The 26,832-nt window shown below is 38.8% G+C and overlaps 1 protein-coding gene across 28 annotated transcripts in view, besides 6 other annotated features; it reads left to right on the top strand.

The window, feature by feature from the left end:
* Positions 4,269–4,428: a silencer, noted in NCBI's record as "silent region_18582". NCBI's record gives its function as "represses an Ori minimal core promoter by ATAC-STARR-seq in GM12878 lymphoblastoid cells {active_cell/tissue: GM12878}" and the evidence as "EXISTENCE:reporter gene assay evidence [ECO:0000049][PMID:35858748]".
* Positions 4,439–4,598: a silencer, noted in NCBI's record as "silent region_18581". NCBI's record gives its function as "represses an Ori minimal core promoter by ATAC-STARR-seq in GM12878 lymphoblastoid cells {active_cell/tissue: GM12878}" and the evidence as "EXISTENCE:reporter gene assay evidence [ECO:0000049][PMID:35858748]".
* Positions 4,669–4,748: a silencer, noted in NCBI's record as "silent region_18580". NCBI's record gives its function as "represses an Ori minimal core promoter by ATAC-STARR-seq in GM12878 lymphoblastoid cells {active_cell/tissue: GM12878}" and the evidence as "EXISTENCE:reporter gene assay evidence [ECO:0000049][PMID:35858748]".
* The window catches only part of CADPS2 (calcium dependent secretion activator 2), a 568,050-nt gene continuing 545,893 nt past the window's right edge, over positions 4,676–26,832 (top strand). For 25 of the 28 annotated variants that reach the window (NM_001363398.2, NM_001009571.4, XM_047421032.1 and 22 more), the window contains exon 1: positions 4,676–5,137. In NM_001363398.2, the coding sequence (NP_001350327.1) occupies positions 4,799–5,137 (339 nt within the window). In that variant the 5' untranslated portion in view covers positions 4,676–4,798. Of the gene's footprint in view, positions 5,138–5,690; positions 5,743–26,832 lie in introns of all 28 variants that reach the window. The other 3 variants (NM_001363400.2, NM_001363399.2, XM_017012796.3) reach the window with 1 other exon arrangement.
* Positions 4,759–4,808: a silencer, noted in NCBI's record as "silent region_18579". NCBI's record gives its function as "represses an Ori minimal core promoter by ATAC-STARR-seq in GM12878 lymphoblastoid cells {active_cell/tissue: GM12878}" and the evidence as "EXISTENCE:reporter gene assay evidence [ECO:0000049][PMID:35858748]".
* Positions 4,849–4,978: a silencer, noted in NCBI's record as "silent region_18578". NCBI's record gives its function as "represses an Ori minimal core promoter by ATAC-STARR-seq in GM12878 lymphoblastoid cells {active_cell/tissue: GM12878}" and the evidence as "EXISTENCE:reporter gene assay evidence [ECO:0000049][PMID:35858748]".
* Positions 5,339–5,388: an enhancer, noted in NCBI's record as "active region_26565". NCBI's record gives its function as "activates an Ori minimal core promoter by ATAC-STARR-seq in GM12878 lymphoblastoid cells {active_cell/tissue: GM12878}" and the evidence as "EXISTENCE:reporter gene assay evidence [ECO:0000049][PMID:35858748]".

The following is a 26,832-nucleotide window of genomic DNA, read 5'->3' as shown; positions in this document are numbered from 1 at the left end:
TATTTTATTTATTCTTCACAACAACCCTTTGAGTGTAGTGTGCGTGTGTGTGTGTGTGTGTGTGTGTGTGAGAACTGGGAACTACTCATTTATTTGTCAATTTATGCTTATCATCTGCATATATTTTCACCCATTACCTGTAAAATGTGTGGTCCCAGAACAGTTCTTCATTACTGACTCAGATTCTAACTGGAGAGGAAAAAAGGCAAAAGCAGAGTAAAGGGAGAGAAGGGATTTAAATGTGGTTTCCAAGAGGATTATTGCCTCATAAGATATAAATGTTCAACACAAAATTTCAAACAAATATTTTTATTTTATTTTTGTAAGTGCATATTTCTATGTGAGCTGACAGTTTTCCCATAGATGTTGCAAAACTGATTCTTCCATTTGTCCTAAAAAAGATTCCTCTTTCTGTTGTACAATAATTTTAGTTATAACTATACCACAAAAGATAATAGACTGTCCACTTTCAAGACACTTAAGGGATATTTTGAGAATTTTTCTCTAACAACACATGAGCATATATTATCATTATTGTTTAATTTGTTCTCCTGTCTATTTCATATGCATTCTCCCAGTGGGTAAATTATTAGCTTTTATGTATTCAGAATAATGCATAACCTAAAGTGGGAAACCAAAAAATGTCTGTTCTATGAAAAAAATGATTTCATCTATGAGTTGAAAGAGTTAACATTTACTTTGAGGCCAAATGCACAAACTAATTCTCATTCAGAAAACAGCCCACCTATGATATTCAGGTCACATACTTGTTTCCTTAAATATTATTGCCAAAACCACATTTTATATTCCATTTTATTACTGTGCATCCATCTTTCCTTAGCATAAGAGATGTTCCATTAAAAAGCAGTATAAATTCAATTTGTTTTTATGCTCACCTTGAAAAAAGTAAAAACGAATCATTGAATAAGTTTAAGTGTATTGTGTGCATTTATGCTGTGTGCCCAATATAGCCTTATGTTGGGCCTCATTTAATCAATGATTCCAGAGCATCAACCAACGTTATAATTACTTGAAAAGTTAATATGTAAGGTAGAAACTTGGCAAAACATTAGCGCAAGCACAAAATTAAAAACTTTAAAATTATTTGGGTACAATTAACTAATGATCAGATCTTCTTTTCAGGTTCCTTTTCTTCAAACCATCCCTTAATTAGAGGAGAGGCAAGGAAGTTTCATTGGCCCTCTTCTCACTCTGAACACATAATTTCTAGACCTTATCATCCATATGTGTACTTTAAGCTCCTCAAAGACCTGATGTTTCTCCAAACCTACCTGTCTTCTAGAAGATCATATTATATCTATTATTAATCAAGTTACACTATTCTGACAAGCATCTTCTATGCTTGACCCTCTTTGTCAGCACCTCATACATATTCTATTAATTCCTTTGTCCATCTCATCAGCTTTCCTCCTCCTCTTGTCCTCTCTCTTAAGTTCAAGGCCCATTGTTTCTCTCTCAGACGTCCCTAGTAATCTCCTCTTTATAGCTTGTCTCTGGTTTCATTGCCCTTATATTGCTCCAGATGGACTCTTAAGAGTTATGGATCACAGTATGTCTTACCTTACTTAAAACCCTTCTGTATTTCCCCATTTTCTTCAGGATATGTTTAAATTCCAAAGCATGGCACACAGACCCAATCCTGAATTTGCCTCTGCTTATTCTCTAGTCTCATTTTCCACATCTTCATATTACATACATTCTTCACTTCAGGCATGCCACTTTACTTGTAATTCTCCAAAGTGGCAAACAATTTCACATCTTTGCATTACTTCCTATCTACAGTGTCCTCATCTTGACAGCTCTAAATTATTCTTCAAGATATATGTCAAGCATCCTGGAAGACTTCTCTTACTGTATTAGTCTGTTTCCACACTGCTATTAAAGACAGTACCTAAGACAGGGTAATTTATAAACAACAGAGGTTTACTTGACTCAGAGTTCCGCATGGCTGGGGAGGCCTCAGGAAACTTACAGTCATGGCAGAAAGCAAAGGAGAACCAGACACCTTCTTCAGAAGGCAGCAAGAGAGAGAGAGAGAGAGAGATGGGGAAACTGCCACTTTTAAACCATAAACGTCTCGTGAGAATGCCCTCACTATCATAGAACAGCAGGGGGGAACTGCCCCCCATGATTTAATCACCTCCCACCAAGTCCCTCCCTCCACATGTGGGGATTACAATTAGAGATGAGATTTGGGTGGGGATATAGAGTCAAACCATATCACTTACTATCTTCTGAATGAAGTGTTTCTTCTCTGTATTGCCATTATCTTCCAGGTTATTGGAACACTCATCAGATTGCAATCCAAATATTGATTATTTTAAATAAATGTTTTTTTCATTTGTCATTCCTTAACTGATAAACTTCTTACGGCCTATATCTTGTTTTCCTAAATATATCCAGTATAGCTTTAGCATATGTTAGTTTCTTAATCAATGTATGTTTAATGATGCTTAAACATTCTCTTTGTTGTCTTTTAGATATTTCTTTAATTTATGCCTCTTAAGTCATCTTCATCTTCATGGAGAAAACACTGTATATTCTGCTCTAAAAATTATTAGATGTTTTCCTGTGGGATCCTCAAGGCTTGGAGATCTTTGACTTAATAACCACCTTTAATGGGAAAAGAATAAGTGATCACATCAAGTAATATTGATTAATAAAAGGAACTGAAAAATATACCTATTGTTGGCAAGAAAAGGGCAGTAAAGTTGCTATATTTAAATCATACATTTATGTCCCTAGAAATTTTTATTAGTTTAGTAAACCTCATACATTTATTATACTGTCTTATTATCAAGGCAAATTGCAGTAGAAAATGACACTATTTGGAACTAGAAAACTGTTTTGAGTCCTTATTCCATTAGGTGCTAGTTCTGTACCCTAAGGAAAGGATTCTTCAACTCTCAGGTTCCTTATTTGAACAATGGAACCTAAAATAAATGAGATAATGTATGTAAAGAGCTTAGTGCAGTATCTGGTTCAAAGGGCAATCAATAATAATACTACCTGCCTCAGAAAGCTATTACTTTGATGAGGGTATTAAACAATTTCACAGATCTTTGCAAAGTGCTAGATAAGCATCAGCTATTATGACAAGATTGCTATTTGTTTGCCTTGCCAAAAATAAAACATTGCCTTTAAATACATAGGTGTTTGAGATTTTCTATTTCTTGGCAGTTTGTGATCATCCCACAGCCATGCTCTTACTGAAGACCTTTTATTACTAGGGGGCCTGTTATGGATTAGGCAGAAAAATAGGTAAGACTCCTCAGGAGTAAATGCCTCCTTGTCTTTTACCCATCTAGAGAGAATGTCAGTAAGTGCAGAAGTCTCTCTTGTGTACCTAACTATATGAAAGTGGCCTGAAAAAGCTAAAACTGCTGTTTGACCATGGTGGTAGAGGAGCTCAGAGCTGGTAGTTAATTTGCCCTGTGTTATTTCCACTGAACTTCATCACCTCCCTGCCCACCTGGTCGCTGCACACTCCACCTGGTGTTGAATGCATTGTTTTGCCTATTTCCCCCTCTGTCAGGACTTAGGACATAAGATACAGAATTACTATAAGAAACTCCTAGGTGGTTCCAGCACTAGGACTGAGAAATCTGCGCAGATAAGGCAGGCTTCAGCGCAGCTACAAGACGCCGACTTGAGGCCAGAACCACCAGCGACTGAGTGTCATGTGCCTTAGTCACCGCGGGCTCCGCAAAAGGCTAACAGTGCTGGACACCGGGAGGGCGCTCAAATCTTTGTTGAATAAATGTCCACACTACACAACCTGTTTTGAGTCAACTGCATCCCAACCCAGAAAATAATCGAGATATGTTTGAGCTGAATCAGTATCATTTTGCACATATAAAATCTCTCTTGCCTTGAGTCTGCAGGACTAGAACAGTTTAAAAAGTAAGCCTCGTTGGTTTTCTTTTTTTTTTCATTACTCCGACTTTTATAATTTGGGCTTCAGCATGAGTATCAAAACGGCAGCAGAGCAGAGTGAGACTTTTCAAAGTCTTGTCGCAAAGATACTTCGTGGTGAAGGGCTCCAGTCCCGCTTTTCCGCGCTGGGGTTCAATCCTAGGCAGCCGATTCGGGTTGGGGAGATGTCTCGGCCGCTCCCCCTAACCTCTTGCTAGGGAACAGTCCCTCCCCGCTCCCCATTCCACCTCCACCTGCTGGAGAAAAGATCACAGGTGGTAGGGTGAGGGTAGTCGGAGCAGCCCCGGTGGACGCTTACACGGGCCATCGCGCTCGGCCGCTCCCCGCCTTTGCAAACTGTGTGCTAGGGCTCCAGGCGGGCCCGGGCAGCAGCGGCGGCGCGCGCACGCGCACTCCGCGGCCCCGCGCGGCTCTTCAACATTCAATTCCACGTGTTGCTTGTTGTAGGCGCCACAGGTTCCCCACCTGCGTCCGGGCGCTCGGGCGGCTCCGCCTCTGCCGGCGGGCTCTGGGGAACCGCTGGGTCGGCGCGCCCGGGGCTGGCGGAGCAATTCCTGAGGCGCCCAAGCTCACCCCCAACGCTAACTCCGCCTATTCAGTCCCGGCGGCTCCCCCTCTCCCCCCTCCCAATCCTCCTCCCGGCTCCTGCCCGCCCCTTTCGCCCTGGTGGTAGGAAACACTCCTGAATCTAACTCGACGTGTCCGGAAAGCCCTGGCCAGTTTTCCTTTCGTTCTGCGGCCGCTGCAGCCAGCCCCGCGGCTCCCTCAGACCCGCGGGCGCAGCCGCCGGGGGTGAGGCGCTTGGGGACCGCGGGCCGAGCGGCGGGGATCCCCGAGCACCATGCTGGACCCGTCTTCCAGCGAAGAGGAGTCGGACGAGGGGCTGGAAGAGGAAAGCCGCGATGTGCTGGTGGCAGCCGGCAGCTCGCAGCGAGCTCCTCCAGCCCCGACTCGGGAAGGGCGGCGGGACGCGCCGGGGCGCGCGGGCGGCGGCGGCGCGGCCAGATCTGTGAGCCCGAGCCCCTCTGTGCTCAGCGAGGGGCGAGACGAGCCCCAGCGGCAGCTGGACGATGAGCAGGAGCGGAGGATCCGCCTGCAGCTCTACGTCTTCGTCGTGAGGTGCATCGCGTACCCCTTCAACGCCAAGCAGCCCACCGACATGGCCCGGAGGCAGCAGAAGGTGAGTTGCGGGACCGGGCGCCTCCTACCACCACTTCTCCCTGGGTTTTTCTCCCGGGAGAGCTCTGGGACGCCTCCCGTCCTTCTGCGAAACGCAGGACACCGTATTTTTGTTAGTCTCTGAGGGCAGAGGAATCTTTGGGGACAAGACGGTGCTTTCACCCGCCGGGTATGCGGCTGCAGCGGACACCTCTTCTCCTCCTCCCCGCCTGGGCTGGCAGGAGCTGTCAGCTCACCATCCGTGAGACAGAGACCGACAGCGCCGGCCGCGCCGCGGTTGCACCCGGCAGGCGCAGCTCTGGCCGGATTAGAATGCAACTCCCATCAACTTTAATTTCCAACAGCACTGGTGCATTCCTGTCCACCTAGCCTGGCGTGATATTGCTAGAGCTGGGTTTGCCGAGGGTCTGAATGAGTGTTGTAGCTAGGCGAAACAGGTGGAGCCCGAGTACTTCTCTTAGCTAGAGTGAAGTCTTCACTTAAGAGGGGTAGAAATTTTCCTCAGTGAATAAAAAAGTTAAATTAATACGTTTCCTATATTGTCATACAACCAGGACATCAAATCCAAACACCGAGAAGGCATGCAGCTTTGTAAAGTGTTTGTGGGTAAGTAATTTCTGGTCTGGGCAGGCCTGATTAATGAAATATACTATTACTGATGAAAGATAAAGGATTGGTGCATGATCACTTCATAACAAATGCTTTCCAAATGCTTTTTTGGGGAACAAAATGCTTATTCTCCCCCAAAAGGTAAGAAGTTTGTTTCAGGTGAAAGGCTGGCCAACTTGAGTTTCAAAACAAGACCCCAGGGGCCTGATGTTCTGTACCAGACACGAGTAATGACTCAAATTGTCCTAAGTGGTTAAATGTTTACAATACAAACTCTAGGAAATCTTTTTAATAGAATGCTGAACCTGGAAGGTTCTGTAGAAATCGGTAACAGTTCCCTCAGTTTGTGACAAGACCTAGAGATCCAGAGAGATTGTAGTCTGCTCAAGGCATACCTACATGCACAGACATTTATTAGTTTTCTGAAATATTAACTTCAGTGTGTGAGGCATTTTTAGAAATTTGGAGAGGTTTTGAGTTGACTTCAACTATAACTGTAGTTCAGAGTAAATTCAGTCTCCCTACATTCTCCTACCCCCATTTAGATAACCTTTATTTTTTGAGGTATAATTGACATGTAAAAAGCTGTGCATACCACTCCACCCTAACTATTGGTGGTTTCATAGGTGTATAAGTATCATGGGGATAAGTACACACCTATAGTTAACACTATTGTATGCTTAAGATCTATCCTCTTAGAAAAAAATTTTAAGTGGTCTTACCCAACTTTTTAAAACACACACAAACTGAGCAACTATTTTGGAATCATTTATTCTCTGGGAATCCTTATGGAATATTTCCTTACAGCTGGAGATTAATAACAGATCCTTCAGGTAACCTAACCCTAGGTATTCAGTCACAGAATGGTAGGGAGACTCCTCATGTTGGAGAAGAGAAATAGGTCATAATAGCATTTCCCAATCCCAAACAAATTGGCACAGTTAAAACCACCATTACTCAGGTAAGTTTTGAATGCCCCGCGGTGTTTTTATGAGCCTGCTGCTCCACTCCTGTATGAATCCCATACTTCCTAATCAGCTGCTCTAATTGAGTCTGTTCTGAGGCAGTCACCCGTGGCCTCTTCTCAATTCTAGTCAAGCGACTGTCAGCTTCAATAGTCATTGTTAAAACTATTTTTTGTATATGTTGTGGTATGAGTTCATATCATCCAGTCTCTAGTTTTACCATTCATATTGCATTTAAGCCTATTTTTAATGATTAAAGTGTAAAAATAATGTTTGGTAAAATTAAGAGACTATTTTCTCCTTGGAATATTATCCTTGAAGATGCTTTTGCAAATTTACTATGAGTTGATTTATACTGTGAATACTTGTTGCATTTTGTTAATGAAGTGGACCCTCCCTTAGCTGTTCAAATAGTGCATTTTTCTCTGACTCCTTCTGTTTAAATATTTGTTCAAAATTATTTGAATTGGCAAGCAGGTGCATTCACAATACTACTGGGGAGACTATTGTTATAACCTTATCCAGGCATTACCAAAGATAATTTCAAACTACAAAAAAAGCAAAATACAACATATATTCTATGAAAAAAAATAGAATCCTTAGGAATTTCCACATTCTAAATGCTTAGAGCATTGAGCACAGGTTAACTTTTGTGAATTACTTTTATTTTTTATTAAGATGGATGCCAAATAGCCTAAGTATTTACTTTACTCAACCCTCCCCCACCTTTTAAAAAATGTGCTGCTTACTAAAGGGAGCTGGAGCAACTTTTGGCAGTCTGGTTTCCTCTTAGGGCAAAATGAAATGGGAATTTAACTATGTTTATGTGAATTTGATGCACAAGCTAATAAGTAATGCCAAAACTTACTTGAAGTCTTGCATTATACAGTTAGATTATCTAAAAGAAGTAACAAGGTAATTGCAAAATCACTAATCCGTTGTTTATTTTATTCTGTATCTTCAAGTAGTCAGGCATCCAGTAAAAAGATTTAATAGCTGAAATTGTTGTCATTGAAATGAATATTGCTGCTTACTCACTTCTCTCAACTTCAAGAATTTAGAGACCCAGAAATTGAGATCTGAAAGGGTCCTCATTTTATGAAGAAAATTAATCACAAAGATAAGATCTTTACCCAGGAGGCCAGGAGTCAGGTTTCTCTTTAGTCAAAGCCCGTTCACTATTAGAGCTGGTGAGTTTCTATGAACCAGAACTGAGCAGCAGTGTTATTTATTTATTTTTTTCACTTGGCTAAAATGGTCCACAAAGTTAGTAAGAGGTTGTGTCTATGAGCTATTTGAGAAAGCTTAGTAGCATTAAACACAGTTAACGAACACATGAATTTCTTTGCTTTTGTCTAGACTATTTCAATTTTGAGGAATAATAGTGGTCAGTTTATGACATTCAAGCCCTCTGATTGACCACTGATGGTTTTACAGAAAATTCTGGGGGTGCATATGGGCTACACACTGTGACAGAGTGCCTTTCCAGGTGCTACACCTCCTAAATGAACATATCCAGGGGTTCACACATGATATGAGTATGAACTAATAAACAGTGATTGAAAGTGATGTCAGTAGTGATAGTGCTTGAGCCTCTAATGCTGATTTACCCTGATTACCTTTGCACCACCCCAGTGCTAACAATGATGATTAACTTTGGATGGTTCTAGATCTTCAGTTAAAGGTAGAGTCAGTGTTGAAACTAGAAAAACAATAATACAAATCAGGTACTAATTAATAAAGGCAATTTGTTAGACTTATGAAAAACATTGAGACCTCGGAGGAGAAAGTAAAAAAAAAAAAAAAAAGGGTTCCTTGGTGGTTTGAAAGTTAGAGAGATCCTGATAAGCATAATGACCAACATAGAAGAGATTAAGTACCTTTACTCATAAATGTGAGTTCACAGACTTCAGGTCTAAATTCGTAACAATATTTAAGATGTATATGGCTTAAAGTGCTGGTAGTTTTGATTAGAATCCATAGGTTTCTAGTCACTGCTCTTTTCATTATTTGAGTTTTTATGTATTTTTTAACTAGAAATAAGAGGGTATTAAAATAGAACCTACTAACCTTCCATATAATTCATATACCTATATTTTTATGTTTCAGTGTGTGTCTCCACTGTAACCACACTAAATTGTGCCTTATTAAACCATTTTGTATAATCACTCCTACCACTTTGCATAATTTTCTGTGATAATTCTAAGTTTGAGAAATGTATGTAAATAATACTGTGAAATTGCAGATGGTGGGGAAGTAAACAGGTAAAATTGATCTGGAGAAGAACATTTGGGGAAATAGTATTGGGTGAAATAATATACCTCCAACTCGCTCATTTGAATGTTGTAACTACTATAAAGTGGCCACTTTTATCTCCCTTTGGACATAGTGGTACTTTCCAGGTTTTATTTTGTTTTCATCTTCTGACTACTTTGGTGTCTGCTGTGTACATGTAAGTCTCAGATTCAGTCCATGCCTCAAAGAATTAGTGAGGAATAGGATGGAGTAAAGATAATATAAAGGCAATGTGAAAGGGTCTTTTACTTTTCTGTGGGAAAGTGGGAACTAGTGTTCCTAAACATGTTTTGAGACCTCTGAAACTCACCTTATTCCCCTAAAGAAAGCCATAAAAATGGTAATACCTGTTGGTGTAAAACTAGTGAATTCAAAGTAACACTTTCCTGATGTTTCTAGCAAGCCCCAGAGACAAGTTAGCAGTGTTGAAGCCCCATAGTATGCCTTTCTTTCTGGCCTGCAGTTTTCCAGCAGATCTGATGATAGTCCAAAAATGCCATACTCTTAGGGAGATAGGGTGATTCATTTTTTTGTGCTCCTTTGGCTTTGATGCATTATGGTCCAAGTACAGAAGAGATGGGTTGTGATATTTGCTGCTTTTAATTATAGGGAATACCTTGCCCTGTTGGGAGTGAGTTGGAAACCACGTATTAAAGTAAAACCTCACACTGGACTTAAAACAGTATCTCAGGGAAAATTGCTTGTTGCTTCAGCTGATTCTTTTAACCTTCCACAGGGTATCCTGAGACCACAGCACTTAATTTGGTGGAATGAGTTGTGCTAATGAGAACTCAGACAGATTAAGTGACGTTGTCATTTGCTTCTTTCCTTCAAAAATGAAATCAGCTGCGATTTTGATATATAATGACTGCTTATTAGGTGAATAAAATATTTTAATGGTGTGTTTTCCCTTTTCAGTTTCGTTTTGTTTGCCTTTAATGGAAACAGCTCTCTTCATTCATACTTTTACAAAGTAAACACAGTTTGTAAGGTCATTAAAGACTTTCAAAACAAAATAGGAAAGCTGACTGCCAGATTATAAAGTCTGGGAATTCTGAATGGAAAATTCTTTATCATTTGCTAGTGAGGTAGACCACTTTTGACTGATTGTGCTACTTTATATTTATTTCAAATTAATTGAGACCTTTGTGAAGGAAGAGGTGGATTGCATAGTTATGTGACATTGCTGTTTCAGTTTTTAGCCTAGGAAAGACCTAATAATTAAATAGTGGACATATCAGTGGGACAAATGGCATATTTTCTAGGGTTTGAAGAGCATTTAAACATCAGATTATGGAATTGTTGTCCAAAATCTGTAATATATCATTTTATGTTCACTGTGTTTCAGTTACCTAAATGTTTTGATATGATTTCCTTAAGGAAAAAGAAGTGCGATTCTTATCTTAACTGCACATTAGAATCACCTGGAGAGCTTTAAAAACAATCTCATTATCCAGGTTGTACCCCAAGGTAATTAAATCAGTCTCAGGGGGTATAGTGTTAAAACTTCCCAATTGATTTCAGTGTACAGTCAAGGTTGAGAACCGCTGTTCTAAAGAGAAGATATAGAAAAATGGCTTATTTTCACCTAGGAAAAATGAAAGTATTGGCAATAACAAGTGAGATTACTAATAAAAGCTGGTATTCCATGTGCAGGAAAAGGTAATGGGGATACTCGAAGCAAGGAACAAAAAACACTCAAATAATATTCTAGAGTTTGTGCAGTCGATACAGTGGAGAGGCTAGTGCATATTTATTTAGACTTATAAAAGGTGTCTAGGTGATATGCTGGAGGCTTTTAAATTATATTCACAGTACTGTCTTTTATTCATTGTACAACTGTAGATAAATCACCACATTAGCAACAGAAAGTATATATTGAATGCTTAGGGTAAGTGTGAGTGTTGCTTTCCATTCCAGAATGAACTGGGAAGAAGAATACAGTGAAATCTCCAAGTTGGAGCTGACACTCAGTAATTCCTAACTGAACAGTACAGTTCACAAAGGTCCTACAAAACCGTTAGTGGGCAAACTGTTTCCTCAGTGTATGTAGTAGTAATGCGTACAGGTTTTCCAAAAAGTAAACTTTAGAAGTCATTCTAACATAATTATTAAAGTAATTAAATGACTTATTAAAGTAATTAAAGTAATTAAAATGACTTGTTTATTAATTAAAATGACTTGTTTAAGTTCTGCTATGTCCAAAATTATAACATTAGGTGGACAGTAAGGAAAAGCTTCTATTTTCCTCAAATCTTATTAAAAAGGTACGTTGTTGGTTTGCATTTGGGAGCCTTTTACTTTGTACAGCATCATGAATGCTCTGCTTGCTTCTTGAAACTTTTATACCACTTTGTAGATGTTGTGGTTTCAGTACTTTCATTTTATACCTTCAAGTTAGTGATGGATTTTTATAATGAAAATATTACTGGGGCAAAGGGCCTGAAAATTTAAAGCCTGTCTTTGTCAATCTAATAGCTAAGATATTTAATTTGCTTCTTTCTGATTGCTTGTGAGGATGAGTATTTGTAAGCTAGTGTCCTTTTCCCCATTTCTTTTCTTTTCTTTTCTTTTTTTATTTTTATTTTTTATTTTTGAGATGGAGTCTTGCTCTGTTGCCCAGGCTAGAGTGCAGTGGTGTGATCTTGGCTCACTGCAACCTCTGCCTCCTGGTTCAAGTGATTCTCCTGACTCAGCCTCCCTAGTAGCTGGGACTACAGGCACGTGCCACCGTGTCTGGCTAATTTTTGTATTTTTGGTAGAGACGGGGTTTCACCATATTGGCCAGGCTGGTCTCGAACTCCTGACCTTGTGATCTGCCCACCTTGGCCTCCCAAAGTGCTAGGATTACCTGCATGAGCCACTGCACCTGGTCCTTTTTTTTTTTTTTTTTTGAGGCAGAGTATCACTCTGTTGCCCAGGCCAGAGTGCAGTGGTGCCATGTTGGCTCACTGCAACCTCTGCCTCCCGCGTTCAACTGATTCTTGTGCCTCGGCCTCTCGAGTAGCTGGGATTACAGGTGTGCACCACCATGCCCAGCTAATTTTTTGTATTTTTAGTAGAGATGGGGTTTTTCCATGTTGGCCAGGCTGGTCTCAAACTCCTGGCCTCAGGTGATCTGCCCGCCTCAGCCTCCCAAAAAGCTGGGATTGCAAGTGTGAGTCAAGATGCCCGGCCTGCAGCCCGACTTTTGATGAATCTCTACTTTCATTACTAAGTGTTATGGCCCAATTTAATTATTTCCTTGGTAAACTATTTATTGAGTCCCTATTATGTGAATTTAACACTATCCAATATGTTCCGAGGATATAGTAAGAAAATAAAACAAGCAAATAATCCCCTTGTGGGCTAATGTTCAATAATTACAGGTTGTATGTCTATAAGTTTATTAATTTAATTCTTTTTTCAAATTTTCATGTAATTTTAACTTATGACAACTTTGTATTTATTTATTTATTTATTTATTTATTTATTTATTTATTTATTTATTTGAGACAGAGTCTTGCTCTGTCGCCCAGGCTGGAGTGCAGTGGCAGGATCTTGGCTCACTGCAAGCTCCACCTCCTGGGTTCACGCCATTCTCCTACCTCAGCCTCCTGAGTAGCTGGGACTACAGGCACCCGCCACTGCACCCGGCTAATTTTTTGTATTTTTAGTAGAGACGGGGTTTCACCATGGTCTCGATCTCCTGACGTTGTGATCCGCCCACCTCGGCCTCCCAAAGTGCTGGGATTACAGGCGTGAGCCACCGCGCCCGGCCGACAACATTGCGTTTTAATTTCTGGTGTGGTTATTTCCCTCTCTAATGTGTCAGAAATTTTTTACTTGTATCATTCGTCTTTCCCTTCCCACTTTTTTTTTTTTTTTTTCTTGAGACGGAGTTTCGCTCTGTCGCCAGGCTGGAGTGCAGTGGCGCGATCTCGGCTCACTGCAACCTCCACCTCCCAGATTCAAGTGATTCTCCTGTCTCAGCCCCCCGAGTAGCTAGCTGGGATTACAGGCACGTACCACCACGCCCAGCTAATTTTTGTATTTTTAGTAAAGACGGGGTTTCACCATGTTGGCCTGGATGGTCTTGATCTCTTGACCTCATGATCCACCGCCTCGGCCTCCCAAAGTGCCACTTTTTAAAAATAGTGCAGTAGTATAGCGTCTTTGTTAGGAAAGCACTGGCTTCAGAGGGCCTGGACTTCATCTTCTCACTCACTCACCGTGTGAACAAGGCACTTCGTCTTTCTGGGACCTAACTACTCCTTCAGTAAAATGTTGATAATTTAAAAATCATAGGATTTCTGTTGTGACGAAATGAGATGCCTATAAAGTACATGCTCCTGATTAGACGCTATCGTTTCTAGTTGTTAATTAAACCTGTTTGGGAAACAATGATATTTTTACTATATTCAGCCTTCTAGGAGCATACGATATCTTCAATTAGTCAAGACTCTGTAACTTTTTGAAGGTTTCATCATATAGATCTCTTGCATTTATAATCAAGTTAATTTTTATATTTTATATTTTTATTGTGACATCTTTTTAAATCTCATTATGGATAAATGGGAAGCTTTTTTTTGTAATTAACTGGTCATTGATGTTACTTAATTGTTGTCTTCAGTGTTGATCCTTTTAGATTTTCTAGGTAGGCAGTTGAAGCATCTGTTGATAGTGATGGCTTTTGTCTGGTCCTGTCCAATAGCTATACCTCTTTTGTTTCATATGTCACCATACTCTTTAGAATAGAACAGTATTTGTACTTGTTGCCAAAGCCCTTGTTTTGATCCATTATTCACTGGGAAATGTTTTTGGTGCTTTACTAGTGAATATACTGTTGGTTAGGATTCTTGGATAGAATTCTGGTATTCTTTGTTTATCCTTTTTCAAAAATTACATTAAGAAAATAAAATACATCAAGAATTGATACTGAATGTTATCAAATTCCTTTTTTTGTATTAATAGAGGTGAATGCCTAGTTTTGTTTTACTGATGTGACAGATCAGATTACTAGGTTTCCTGTTATTAAAGCATATTTGCATTTCTCGGGTAATTTCTACCTGATTATGACTGTTTTTTTTAATACACCTTTGAGTCTGAGTTTCCTGTACTTTTAATTTTTACATGTATGTTCATAAGAGAAAGGTCTATCAGAAAGGTGTTAACTGAGAAACATTTTACCTTTATATGTGCTCTAGAATAGTTTTTTTGTTTTGTTTTTGGTATGTAAATCATCTGATACATGAAGTTTTGAAAGAATTCACTCGTGAAATTACCTGCATCCAGACCCTGTTTTTTTTAGCCTATTGCTTTTTCTTCTTATTCAAAATTAAAATATGATAATTGCACGATTTCAGAAAAGTGGCTATTTTCAGATATAACATAATTTTTCACTTATTTTTCCAATATCCTTTATGTTAGCTATAAGTCTTATTTTAGATTATATTCTTCCTAAAAATATACATGTATATATATAAAATGGTGGAGTGCAGTGGCTAATACATGTAATCCCAGCATTTTGGGAGGCTGGGGTAGAAGGATCACTTAAGCCCAGGAGTTGGAGAACAGCCTAGGCTACACAGTGAGACTCAGTCTGCACAAAAAATAGAAAAAATTAGTCAAGCATGGCGACTCATGCCTGTGTTCCCAGCTACTCAGGAGGCTGTGGTAGGAGGATCACATGAGCCCAAGAGGTCAAGGCTACAATGATCTGTGATTGCACCACTGCACTCCAGCCTGGGTGACAAAGTGAGACCCTGTCTCAAAAGAAAAAATAAATATAAAATTAGATTTGCTGGATTCCCTTATTTTATTTTATTTTTTGACACAAAGTCTTGCTCTGTGGCCCAGGCTGCAGTGCAGTGACACGATCCTGACCCACTGCAACCTCTGCTTCCCAGGTTCAAGTGATTCTCCTGCCTCAGCCTCCCAAGTAGCTGGGATTACAGGTGTGCACCACCACACCCGGCTAATTTTTGTGTTTTAGTAGAGATGGTGTTTTGCCATGTTGGCCAGGCTGGTCTTGAGCTCCTGACCTCAAGTGATCCACCCGCCTCAGCCTCCCAAAGTGCTGGGATTACAGGCATGAGCCACTGTACCTGGCCAGATTCCATTTTTTTTTTAAGTTATATCTGTTAACTTTATAAGTTCTGCTATTTTAGAAATCAATAGTTTGTATCCTTTCTTTGTGTTTCCCTTAGGGTTGTCTTTTGTTGTTGCTTTTAAAGAGGACCAAGGGAATGGGAGAGAGACGTGAGAGAGTGGTTCTCTCATCTAGCTTCTCTTTTAGGATTACTTTATTTTTGGTTTTGTAATAAGATAATGAGAATATATGAAAGCTATGAATTTATCTCTAAGTGCAGTTTGGCCTCAGTCCTTATGTTATAAAGCATTTTTATTTAAATATTCTCTTTTCAGATTTTACTTTTTTCCTTGAACCAGTATTTACATATTTAATCAGAAGAGTAATTTAGAAATTGCAGTTGAAAAATTTGTTTTCTCTTTAGTAATAGATTTCCAATTTTAGGTTGACAGAGAATGTTGCTTATGGTACTTAGCATTGTTGTATGTAATTTAAGTTTTTCATCACAAATTAATATACTGATTTTAAGATAAAAAGTTTGCTATATATCTAATAATTAGCATTATTATAGTAATCATTCCTATCTTATTTTTGTCTTCTTTGACTAAATTATCTTATTAGTTGTATTAATTTATTTTGCATTTCCAGCCATATTTAATTCATATGTTTTGATTCCAGTCTCTTAGTTGTGTAAAGATTCATGAGTATATGCTTACAATCACTGAAAATTAACTTCGTTTGATCCACTTACTGTGTATATGGGACAAGGATTCTACTTTGTTCAGATTTAACACTGATTTTACTTTCTTTTGGTGGAGTTTATCAGAGAGATTGAAAAGTATCCATAATACGTATACACCTACACTCATATTCACCTAGTTATGCGTCTAATGTAAACACGTATGTACACATCTGCAAACGTGTACACATCTGCAAACGTATACACACTCACATTTCTGGATTGCTTTGTATTGAGGAAAATTATGCAACAATTTATGCCTAGTCCCATGCTTTAATAAGAGGGTTTAAACATTTTATTAGTTACCACTGATATGTTTAATCTTATTTTCTGTTTTGTTCAGTGTTTTCTGTTTCTTTTTTAAAGAAGTTTGTTGCCTAGGTTTTCTTCTAGGGTTTTTATGGTTTTAGGTCTCACATTCAGGTCCTTAATCCATCTTGAGTTAATTTTTGTATAAGGTATAAGGAAGGGGTCCAGTTTCAGTTTCCTGCATATGGCTAGCCAGTTTTCCCAACACCATTTATTAAATAGGAAATCCTTTCTCCATTGCTTGTTTTTGTCAGGTTTGTCAAAGATCAGATGGTTGTAGATGTGTGGCATTATTTCTGAGGCCTCTGTTCTGTTTCACTAGTCTATATATCTGTTTCAGTACCAGTACCATGCTGTTTTGGTTGCTGTAGCCTCAAAGTATAGTTTGAAGTCAGTCAGCATGATGGCTCCAACTTTGTTCTTTTTGCTTATGGTTGTCTTGGCTATACGAGCTCTTTTGGTTCCATATGAAATTTAAAGTAGTTTTTTCTAATTCTGTGAAGAAAGTCAATGGTAGCTTGATGGAGATAGCATTGAATCTATAAATTACTTTGGGTAGTGTGGCCATTTTCATGGTATTGATTCTTCCTATCCATGAGCATGGAATGTTTTTCCATTTGTTTGTGTCCTCTCTTATTTCTTTGAGCAGTGGTTTGTAGTTCTCCTTGAAGAGGTCCTTCACATCCCTTGTAAGTTGTATTCCTAGATGTTTTATTCTCTTTGTAGCAATTGTGAGTGGGAGTTCACTCATGATTTGGCTCTCTGTCAGGACATAGGCAAGGGCAGACTTTATGACTAAAACACCAAAAGCAATGTCAACAACAGCCAAAACTGATAAATGGGATGTAAAAGAACTAAAGAGTTTCTGCACAGCAAAAGAAACTATCATCAGAGTGAACAGGCAACCTACAGAATGGGAGAAAAATTTTGCAATCTATCCATCTGACAAAGGGCTAATATCCAGAATCTACAAAGAACTTAAACAAATTTACAAGAAAAAAAAAACCCATCAAAAAGTGGGTGAAGGATATGAACAGACACTTCTCAAAATAATACATTTATGCAGCCAACAAACATATGAAAAGCTCATCATCACTGGTCATTAGAGAAATGCAAATCAAAACCACAACGAGATATCATCTCATGCCAGTTAGAATGGCGATAATTAAAAAGGAAACAATAGATGTTGGAGAGGATGTGGAGAAACGGGAATGCTTTTATACTGTTGGTGGGAGTGTAAATTAGTTTAACTATTGTGGAACACAGTGTGATGATTCCTCTGGGATCTAGAACCAGAAATACCATTTGACCCAGCAATCTCATTATTGGGTATATACCCAAAGGATTATAAATCATTATACTATAAGGACACATGCACACGTACGTTTACTGTAGCACTATTTACAATAGCAAAGACTTGGAACCACCAAAAATGCCCATCAATCATAGACTGGATAAAGAAAATGTGGCACATATACACCACGGAATACTATGCAGCCATAACAAAGGATGAGTTCATGTCCTTTGCAGGGGCATGGATGAAGCTGAAAACCATCATCCTCAGCAAACTAACACAGGAATAGAAAACCAAACACTGCATGTTCTCACTCATAAGTGGGAGTTGAACAATGAGAACATGTGGACACAGGGAGGGAAACATCACACACCAGGGCCTATTGGGTTGGGGGGCTAGAGGAGGGAGAGCATTATGAGAAATACCTAATGTAGATGACATAGTGGTGCAGGAAACCACTATGGCATGTGTATGCCTATGTAACCTGCACATTCTGCACATGTATCCCAGAACTTAAAATATTAAAAAAATTTTTGTTTTGTGCCTTTTGCTATATGGACTCCATTTAAAAAATATATATCTGGAAAACGAAATGCCAAGTACAGTAGGTGGGTTTTACTTTCTCCAAAGATCATTTTCCTTAGGGAGGCATTTGGCTCCCTGTGTTTAAGGGCATTTCTGTACTCCTTTCCTGGAGCTAGGGACAGATAGGGTGAAACAATATAACTCTTCCTTCGCCTTCCTTATGTTTGTGCTTACTATTCTGATTCAAAGGGCAGGACACATGTATTTTAAGAGGCTGTGTCTCCAGTTTTGTTCTTGGGTTGTGAGTCCGTGGACATTCCTCTGGAAATTGGATTACAGTTTTAACTTTAGTTTACAAAGTTGTTACCCTATTTAAATTTTTTTTCTGGATCTGCATGGAATTTTTTATTAGAATATGGGAAAAATAAATTCTGCTGCCATGAAACTTGTATTCTTACTAGTTTAACATATTTAGGAAAATGCATTCCAAATTTTATTTAAAGAGATGAGAGCCTTAATTTGGTTCTCTAGAAAAACTAAAACTAAAAATACTGCTTAGTTAAAAAGGCTTACAAAATGCTGAATATCATAAGAAAAAATTCTGAAATATAACAAGACAACTTTAGCCTACACTTTTGAAGCTCTTCTTTTCTGACTCAGAAGGATTGCATATATTCTCAAGCAGTAGTAAGTAGGGAGATTGAGATAAAGCCCATTCTTGTTCCCTCGTCCTTGCTTTAGGTCCACTGTGTTTTGACGTGTTTTATATTATAAGCTTTTGTATAAAGCTTTCTTTGACAAAACAAAGGTTCCTATAATGAATCTCATTGTTTTTAACTGGAACACCTGAAATGACAGAGAGGGAGGCCAAAATGTTCAAGTAATTATGAAAATTTAAAGTTACATGATTAAATTGTGCAACACTGTAAGAATCCCTATAAAGTTTGATCACCATATCTTAGAGTCCTAGGCTTTGAACTTTATCCTTTTTCTTTCCTTTAAATCACCTTAAAACTATGTAAGAGATAAGCAATGTGGGGCTATACAGATTAATCCACCACAGATCTTGGTATAAGAAGCTGAAATCTAATAGGTAAGATGTTAACTTTGTGATCCTTCAAATAAAGAGAGATTTTTACAAGTCAGTTGTTTGGAGCTCAGGGGAGAGATTTGGGCACAAGAGTTAAATTTGAGTGTTGTCATATGTATGGTGATTGGAACCATGGGTTTGGATAAGGAAGCCCAAGAAAAGAGAGTCTAGCAAGGAGAAGATTTTAAGGACTGGTCTTAAAGAACTACTGGATTTAAGACTGGAAAGAAGGCTGAGCTGGAGAAGGAAATGGAGAAGAAGTAGCCAGATGTATTAGAAGAAAACTAGGATGGTCCATGTCACAGAAACTAATGAAAGAGCTACTTAACAGGATGAGTAGAAAACAATGTCAGGTGCTACTGAATGATCAAGTAAGATGGAGATTGAAAATGTTAATTGGATTTTGCAATATGGAGATTACCCTTAACATTGGTGACCCAGGGAACTCATTTTAGGTTCTATTTCACACAAGCCACGTTTTCAGACATTGACATTCCTAAACCGTATTTTGTATGCTGAATCTAGCCTTTCTTTCTTTAGCAGAGGAACAGCTTGAGTTATTACTTGGTGGCTTTGCTGCTCAACAGTTAAGCTTCAACAGTGTTGTGTTTTTATATCCTGTTTTTTTTTTGTGGGGGGGAATACTGTATAAATATAAATGTACATATGCATGTATTTGTTGTGCTTTTGTTTTATAATAATTAAAAATTGTCAGTGATAAGCATATATTTTGAATGTGGTACAACTGAGATCAAGATCATGAAGTATCCTGCAAATAGAAAATCCTTGATATTGAGTACTTAAGATTGGTTGTTTTTCATTTCATTTGAGAATGAAAAGAGAAAACTCAACATGTGAAAATGCTGGAATACATAAGTCAAAAAGTGGGATGAAACCAGGGTGTAATTTTTTTTTTTTTCCCAGCACTGTGGCAATCTCTCCCCTCCTCCGTTGTCCCCTGTCTTCCTTTGTTTGACTTTTCCATTTTCAGTTTTCTATCTTAGGACCCTATCTGCAGTAAAGATCTACTCTTCTTTGTCCTTTCTAAATTGCTGTATCTTCATCAATAAAGTGATTAATATTTGCTTCAGTGAGATGGTGGGAAGATACATAAAATAATTTCTGAAAAGCACTTAGTTCAGTGTCTGACCTGGACTATATCTTCAAAAAGTTTCCTGTTAACATTTTGTAATAATTTACATTCAGGGAAAAATGTTCCCTGCTATAAAGCATATTGCATTTATCAACAAATATTGAGGCAATATTTGAACAGATTTCATGTGGTAGGAACTATTTCAGACACTGGAATATAGACATGGACAAGATAGCGCTTTTAATCTCTTTTTGGGTGACAAATAATTGTGTATGTCTGGTACAATGTGATGCTTTAATCTATGTATACATTGTATAATGATTCAATCTAATTAACATATCCATCACCTCACCAACTTATCTTCTTTTTGTGGTGAGGTTGTTAAAAATCTATTTGTGTACCAATTTTGAAATATACAATACATAATTATTAACTGTGGTCAGTCACCATGCAATGCAGTAGATCACTAAAATTTATTCTTCCAGTTCAACTGAAATGTTGTACCCTTTGATCAACATCTCTCCTTTCTCCATCCCTCCCACTCCCTCCAGCCTCTGGTGGCTATCTTTCTACTCTGTTTCTATGCACATATATTTACAATTATTATAACTTTTTGATGAATTGACCCCTTTATTATTATATAATGACCTTCTTTGTCTCTTTTTACAGTTTTTGATTTAAAGTCTATTTTGCCTGATATGTATAGCTACCCCTGCACTCTTAGTTTTCATTTGTGTGGAATATCTTTTTTCTTCCCTTCACTTTGAATCTGAATGTGTCCTTAGAGATGAAACTAGTCTCTTTTTGGAAGCATATAGTTGGGTAGTTGCATCTTCTTTTTTTAATCCACTAAGCTGTTTGATGTCTTTTGATCAGAAAAGTTAACCCATTTATTTTCAAAGTCATTATTGATAGGTAAGGATTTACTATTAAATTTTGTTAATTATTTTCTGGTTAATATGTAGATCCTTTGTTCCTCTCTTCTTTTGCTGTGTTCCTTTGTGGTTTGAGGATTTCTCTATGGTATGCTTTGAATGCTTTCTTTTTGTGTATCTACTAAGGGTTTTTGCCTTGTGGTTACCATGAGGCTACCATAAAACATTTTATACTAATAACAGGCTGTTTAAAGCTGATAATAACTTTGATCGCTTGCACAAACTCTATACTTTTACTCTTTTCCCATTCACAATTTATTATTCATGACATATTTTGTATCTTTTACTGTTTGTGTCAGTTAGCAAATTATTAAAGCTCTAGCTTTTAATAGTTTGGCTTTTAATCTTCATACTAGAGATATATTTGGTATTCACAACTCCATTACAGTATAAGTGTGTTCTGTGTTTTATTACATAACTACTTTTACCGGTGAGTTTGATATTTTTGTGTTGCTCCTTAGTGATCTTCTCCTTTAGCTTGAATGACACATTTTAGCATTTTTTTTTTGTAAAGCAGGTCTAGTGGTGATGAATTCCTTTAGCTTTTGTGTGTCTGAGAAAGTTTTATCTCCCCTACATTTTTGAAGGACAGGTTTGCTGGGTATAATACTATTGGCAGTTTTGTTATTTTTCTTTTAGCTCTTTGAATATATTATCCCATTTACTTCTGGTCTTCAGGGTTTCTCTTGGAAAAATCTGCTAGTAGTGTTATAGAAGTTCCTTTGTATGTAACAAGTCACTTTCTTATGCAGATTTTTCAATATTTTCTCTTTGTTTTCACTTTAGAAACAATATTTTAACTTATTTATAACAATTTGATTATAATGTGTCTTATTGTGGGTCTCTGGATTCATCATATTAGGTGTCCAATGAGGTTCTTGGATCTGGATTTCTAATTTCTTCCCTAGACTTGGGCAGTTTTCTGTCATTATTTCTTTAAATATGGTTTGTATTCCTTTTTCTTTTCTCCCTCTGGTACTCTGATAATGCATAGTTTATTCACTTGATGGTGTTCCATAATTCCCTTAGGTTATCTTCAGTCTTTTTCATTCTTTTTTCATTTAGCTCCTCAGATTCGATGATTTCCAATGATTTTGTCTTTAAATTTGCTAATCTTCTCTTCCTCTTGACTTAGGCTGCTATTCAACCTGTCTGTTGAATTTTTGAGCTCAGTTATTATAGTCTTCAGCTCAATGATTTCTGTTTAGTAGTTTTTAATATGTTCTATCTCTTCGTTGAAATTATCAGTTTGTTCTTGTATTGTTCTCCTTACTTTAGCGAGCATCTTTATTACTGTCCTTTTGAATTCCTTGTCTGGTCAGAAACATATCTCCATTCATTAGCATAAGCTTCAGGAGATGTATCTTGTTCTTTTATTTGGAACATCTTTCTGTTAGTTAATTTTCCTTGACTCTCTGTGTTGGTTTCTGTGCATTAGATAAGAGAACCACCCCTTCCTGTCTTGTTGGAGTGGTCTTGCGTAAAAGATCTTTCTTTCCAATCAGGGATTCTATATTCTAAGCTCTTTGTGTTTGTCCAACCTGCTGTCTTTGTTCTTAGTGGCTCCTAGGAAATTAGAGTGTCAAGTCATGATATTGCCTTGAGAGAGGTGAGAGAAGACAGCCTCTTGAGATGTAGCTGGAGAGGTTAGAATGTTAAATATATATTTCTGTTCCTTCTTTGAGAAGTGGAGAGCTGGAATTTATCCCCCACTCATTCTGCCCTACACTAAAGTGAGAGTCTGAGGAAGAATCTTGTACTCTTGGTCAGAGTGCTCACTTTTAACCTGGGGAGATAGTTGCTGAAGGTTTGCAAGTTTAAAAGTCACTTTTGTTCTCTGTGGTCTGGGAGACCAGCAGTGTAGAGCTCCATCAACTTCCAGAGCTAGGTGATTTAGGAGCCAGTCACTCAAGTGAAGGCTGTAAAAGTTGGAGCACTCGATGCATGCAGAAACTACTTCCAGGGAGAGTCTGCAGATATAGATTTATTGCTGAAGCAAGTCAGAGAAGAAAGATCAAGAAGTGCTCACTCTGGCATTAAGGCAAGCAGAAGTCTCACACCCTTCTAGCAGGAAGAGATTTCTAGTTGGGAGTTATCACTGAAATGAACCAGGGAGAAAGGCACAGAGGGTGCTCACTTTCCCCTTCAGGTATGAAGAGGCCCATTCCCCAGCTTCCTTCCAATGTGAGATTGCAGGACTATATCTCAAAAGCAAGCCAGGAAAGAAGGCTTAGGGAGTGCTTTCTCTTTCATTGTTGTTGGCAGAGGCCTCCCATCTCTTTCCACAGAGAGATTTTCCATGGGTCTGGAATTGTCCCTGGGGCAAAGGGAGTGCCATGTTTCCCATTTAGGCTCAGATAAGTTTATTCTTTATTTGCTATGCAGGTTTATAGAAGTTGGGCTGATCCTGGGGGCTACAACTGCTGGGAATGACCATGCAGTCAAAACTCCCTTTGTTCTTTGTGCTTGAGAGAAATCATCTGATGCCCTCTCCCTGCCATTCCTCAGGCATGGTGATTTAAGAGCAAAGCCCTTCAGCAGGGACTCTAAAAGTTGGGCAGGGTATATGTTGTACAAGACTATTACCCTTCAAGAATAAGCTGGGAGTTGATATTTCCTTCTTGGGTGCTCAGGGTGGAGTTAGTGTGCAAGTATATCTCAGCTTTTTCTACCCATTTTGACAAGGGTATTTCCTCAGTTGTCTGGTACACAGGAGTCTTTCAACTGGATTATTTCTCTTGGAGAGAATTGATTTCTCAGTGTGTGAGAGGAGGGACAGTCAGGAGCCCCCTATTTTATCATGTTGCTCAAGAAAGCCCTTTTGAAGCTTATATTCTAGTAGAGGAGATGGATTAAGCAACAGATACATATATGTATATTCCTCTTAAGGGAGAGTAACTGTGGGAGGGGGTTTGGTGTCAGTGGTTATTTTAGATAGGGTGGTCAGGGCAAGCCTCTTGTAGAAGCAGGTAGCAGTTGATCAGGATTAATTAAGTGAAGGACTGAGCCCCTTGGAAACAGAGGAGGAAAGAGTATCCAATATAGCACTAAAGCAAGAATAAAAAGTCCTGTGGTGGAATAGAATAAGCTTTTCCTATAAAAAGCAGCAAAGTTGTGCAGGGTGGCTAGCATGATGTGAGAAGAGGAAAGTGGGAAGAATTGCATCTGGAGAGGTATGCAGAGGCTAGCTTATATGAATTTTTTAGGCCGTGGTAAGATGTTCGGAATTTAGGTGTGCTGGGAAGCTGTTGGAAGGTTTTCAAAAGTTTCAGGAAATGATCTGATTAAGATTCTAAAAACATCTCTTTGTCTGATCTGAGAATAGACAGTGCCACTACATGGCACAGCTTCAGGGGTATTTTTGTTTGTTTTGGTTTGAGACAGTCTTGCCCTTTTGCCCAGGCTGTAGTGCAGTGGCACAATCTCAACTCACTGCAACCTCTACCTGCCGGGTTCAAGCAATTCTCCTGCTTCAGCATCTCGAGTAGCTGGGACTACAGGTGCGTGCCACTACATCTGGCTAATTTTTGTATTTTTAGTAGAGATGGGGTTTCACCATGTTGGCTAGGCTGATCTGGAACTCCTGACCTCAGGTGATCCACCCACCTCGACCTCCCAAATTGCTGGGATTACAAGGTCTGAGCCACTGCACCCGGCCACCAGAGACTTTGTTAAGATGGAATTTAAGGCACCCTCTTAGAGTTGTACAGTCTTGAGAATAGATTGTAGGGGCAAGAGTAGAAGAAGAAAGACCAATTTGGAGACTATAGCAATGGTTAAAGTTTGAATAGGTGGTAGCCTGAGAGGTAATATAGAATATAGCCTGAAAGTATTTACTCAATATTATTTAAGTTTATAAATGCAGTAGGGTGAAACTGTGCTATTTTGAGATTATAACATGGTTAAAAATGTTTAAGCTATTTTATTAAAATAATAAATATGTTTATGTGGTTAAATAAGCCTTGCAGAACTTAAAATAGAAAGCAGCAGTCCCCTGCCCCACTTTTTCCCATTCCCAGTCACATTCCCAGAAGAAATTCTTTTAACTATTAATGTTTTTAATTCTTTGGGAAAATACTTCCAACATCAAAATAAGATGCCTACACCACTTTCCTTCATTCATTCTTCTTAGACTTTAGTCTTTACAGTACTTCCTGCAGAGGGTGCTGGGTGGGGAAGATTTAGCTCACTCACACAGACATGTGGCTCCCCTTTCTTCCACTTGGAATATGGTTATCTACTGCTAGTGGACCTCCAAGATGTTCTCACATTCTTATAAGCAACAGAATTTTTAGTTGGATAAATGCTGTGTGGTTGAAGTCTACATTTCTCATTTTCCTTTTCCCCCTTTCATTAACAATGGGACAGACCATGATTGTCTATAGAGAATGTGGGTCAATAACACAACTGTGGGAAACACCAGCTTTGTTATTTCTACCATGCGAAATAGGACCAGGTCCCATAAGATCATCAGTCTTAATGAGGAATTGCAGAGGCAATGTTTGTACAGAAGTCAGATACAAGCCAGAGACTGCTGATACTTCTCTGAGGAGAGTAGAAAGTAAGTTTTGCTGCAATAGGAGCAAGAATTGGCTTAGAATTGTTGCCTCAAAAATCTGTCAGTAGCTGGCTGTGGAACAGTCAGGGTCTCACATGTGTCACAGCATCTCTTCCATTGCAGCTATAGCCAAGACTTAAGTTCAGTCTAGTGGGATGTCTTAATCTGTTTAGTGTTGCTGTAAAGAAATACCTGAGGCTGGGCAATTTATAAAGGTAAGAGATTCTGCAGACCATACAAGAAGCATGGTGCTGGCAAGGCGCTGGCAACTGGTGAGAGTCTCAGGCTAATTCAACGTATGTGGAAGGCAAAGTGTTGCTAGTGTATGCAGAGATTACATGGTGAGAGAAGAAACGAGAGAGTGTGAGAGAGGAGATGCCAGACTCATTTTAACAACCATCCCTCACGGAAACTAACAGAGTGAGAACTCCCTCACCACCCACCACAGGGAGGGCATTAATCATGAGGTGTCCACCCCCATCACCCAAACACCTCCCATTAGGCCCCTACTTCCAACATTGGGATCAAATTTCAATATGAGGGTTGGTGGGGACAAACATACAAACAGAAGTGATGAGTACAAACCTATGGGCCATTTTCTGAAAGGGAAGAAATGGTTCTCTCTGGTCTCTTCCCCCTTCTTACTGGCTGGAATGTCAATGTCAGTGTGGTAGGAGTTAGAGCAGCCATTTGGCCAAATTGATGTTGCTACTTATTGAGGATAACAGAGCTACAAGTTGGAAGGAGTCTAGGGCCCATATCTTAACTACAGTTTGCTTTGTAATTTAAATAGTATACATATCTCTTTGTAATTTAATTAATATACTTATCCCTTTATGTCTTGTTCCTTTAGGTATAGACATTATGGCCCTGCATTTCTTGCTGACAATATTAATTGCCTACTTGACGGTCATTTTCCTTATTTCTTTCTTGCTGTAATAGTTCCAGCCCTAGGTAAGGTACTTGCTTTTCTAGCTTTCCTGAGAGCTACAAGTGGCCATGTGACATAAGTTTTTTTGGTTTGTTTTTTTGTTTTTTGAGACAGAGTTTCACTTTGTTGCCCAGGCTCGAGTGCAGTGGCAATTTCATGACTTACTGAAGCCTTGACCTCCTGGGCTCAAACAATCCTCCTGACCCAGCCTCCCAAGTAGCTGGAACCATGGGCACATGCCACCACCCCTGGCTAATTTTATTTTTTTTGTATTTTTGGTGTA

Source organism: Homo sapiens, chromosome 7, assembly GCF_000001405.40.
Source record: "Homo sapiens chromosome 7, GRCh38.p14 Primary Assembly".
Lineage (NCBI taxonomy): Eukaryota > Metazoa > Chordata > Mammalia > Primates > Hominidae > Homo > Homo sapiens.
The sequence above is the reverse complement of the archived record's forward strand: the minus strand, read 5'-3'. Positions and strand labels throughout refer to the sequence as shown.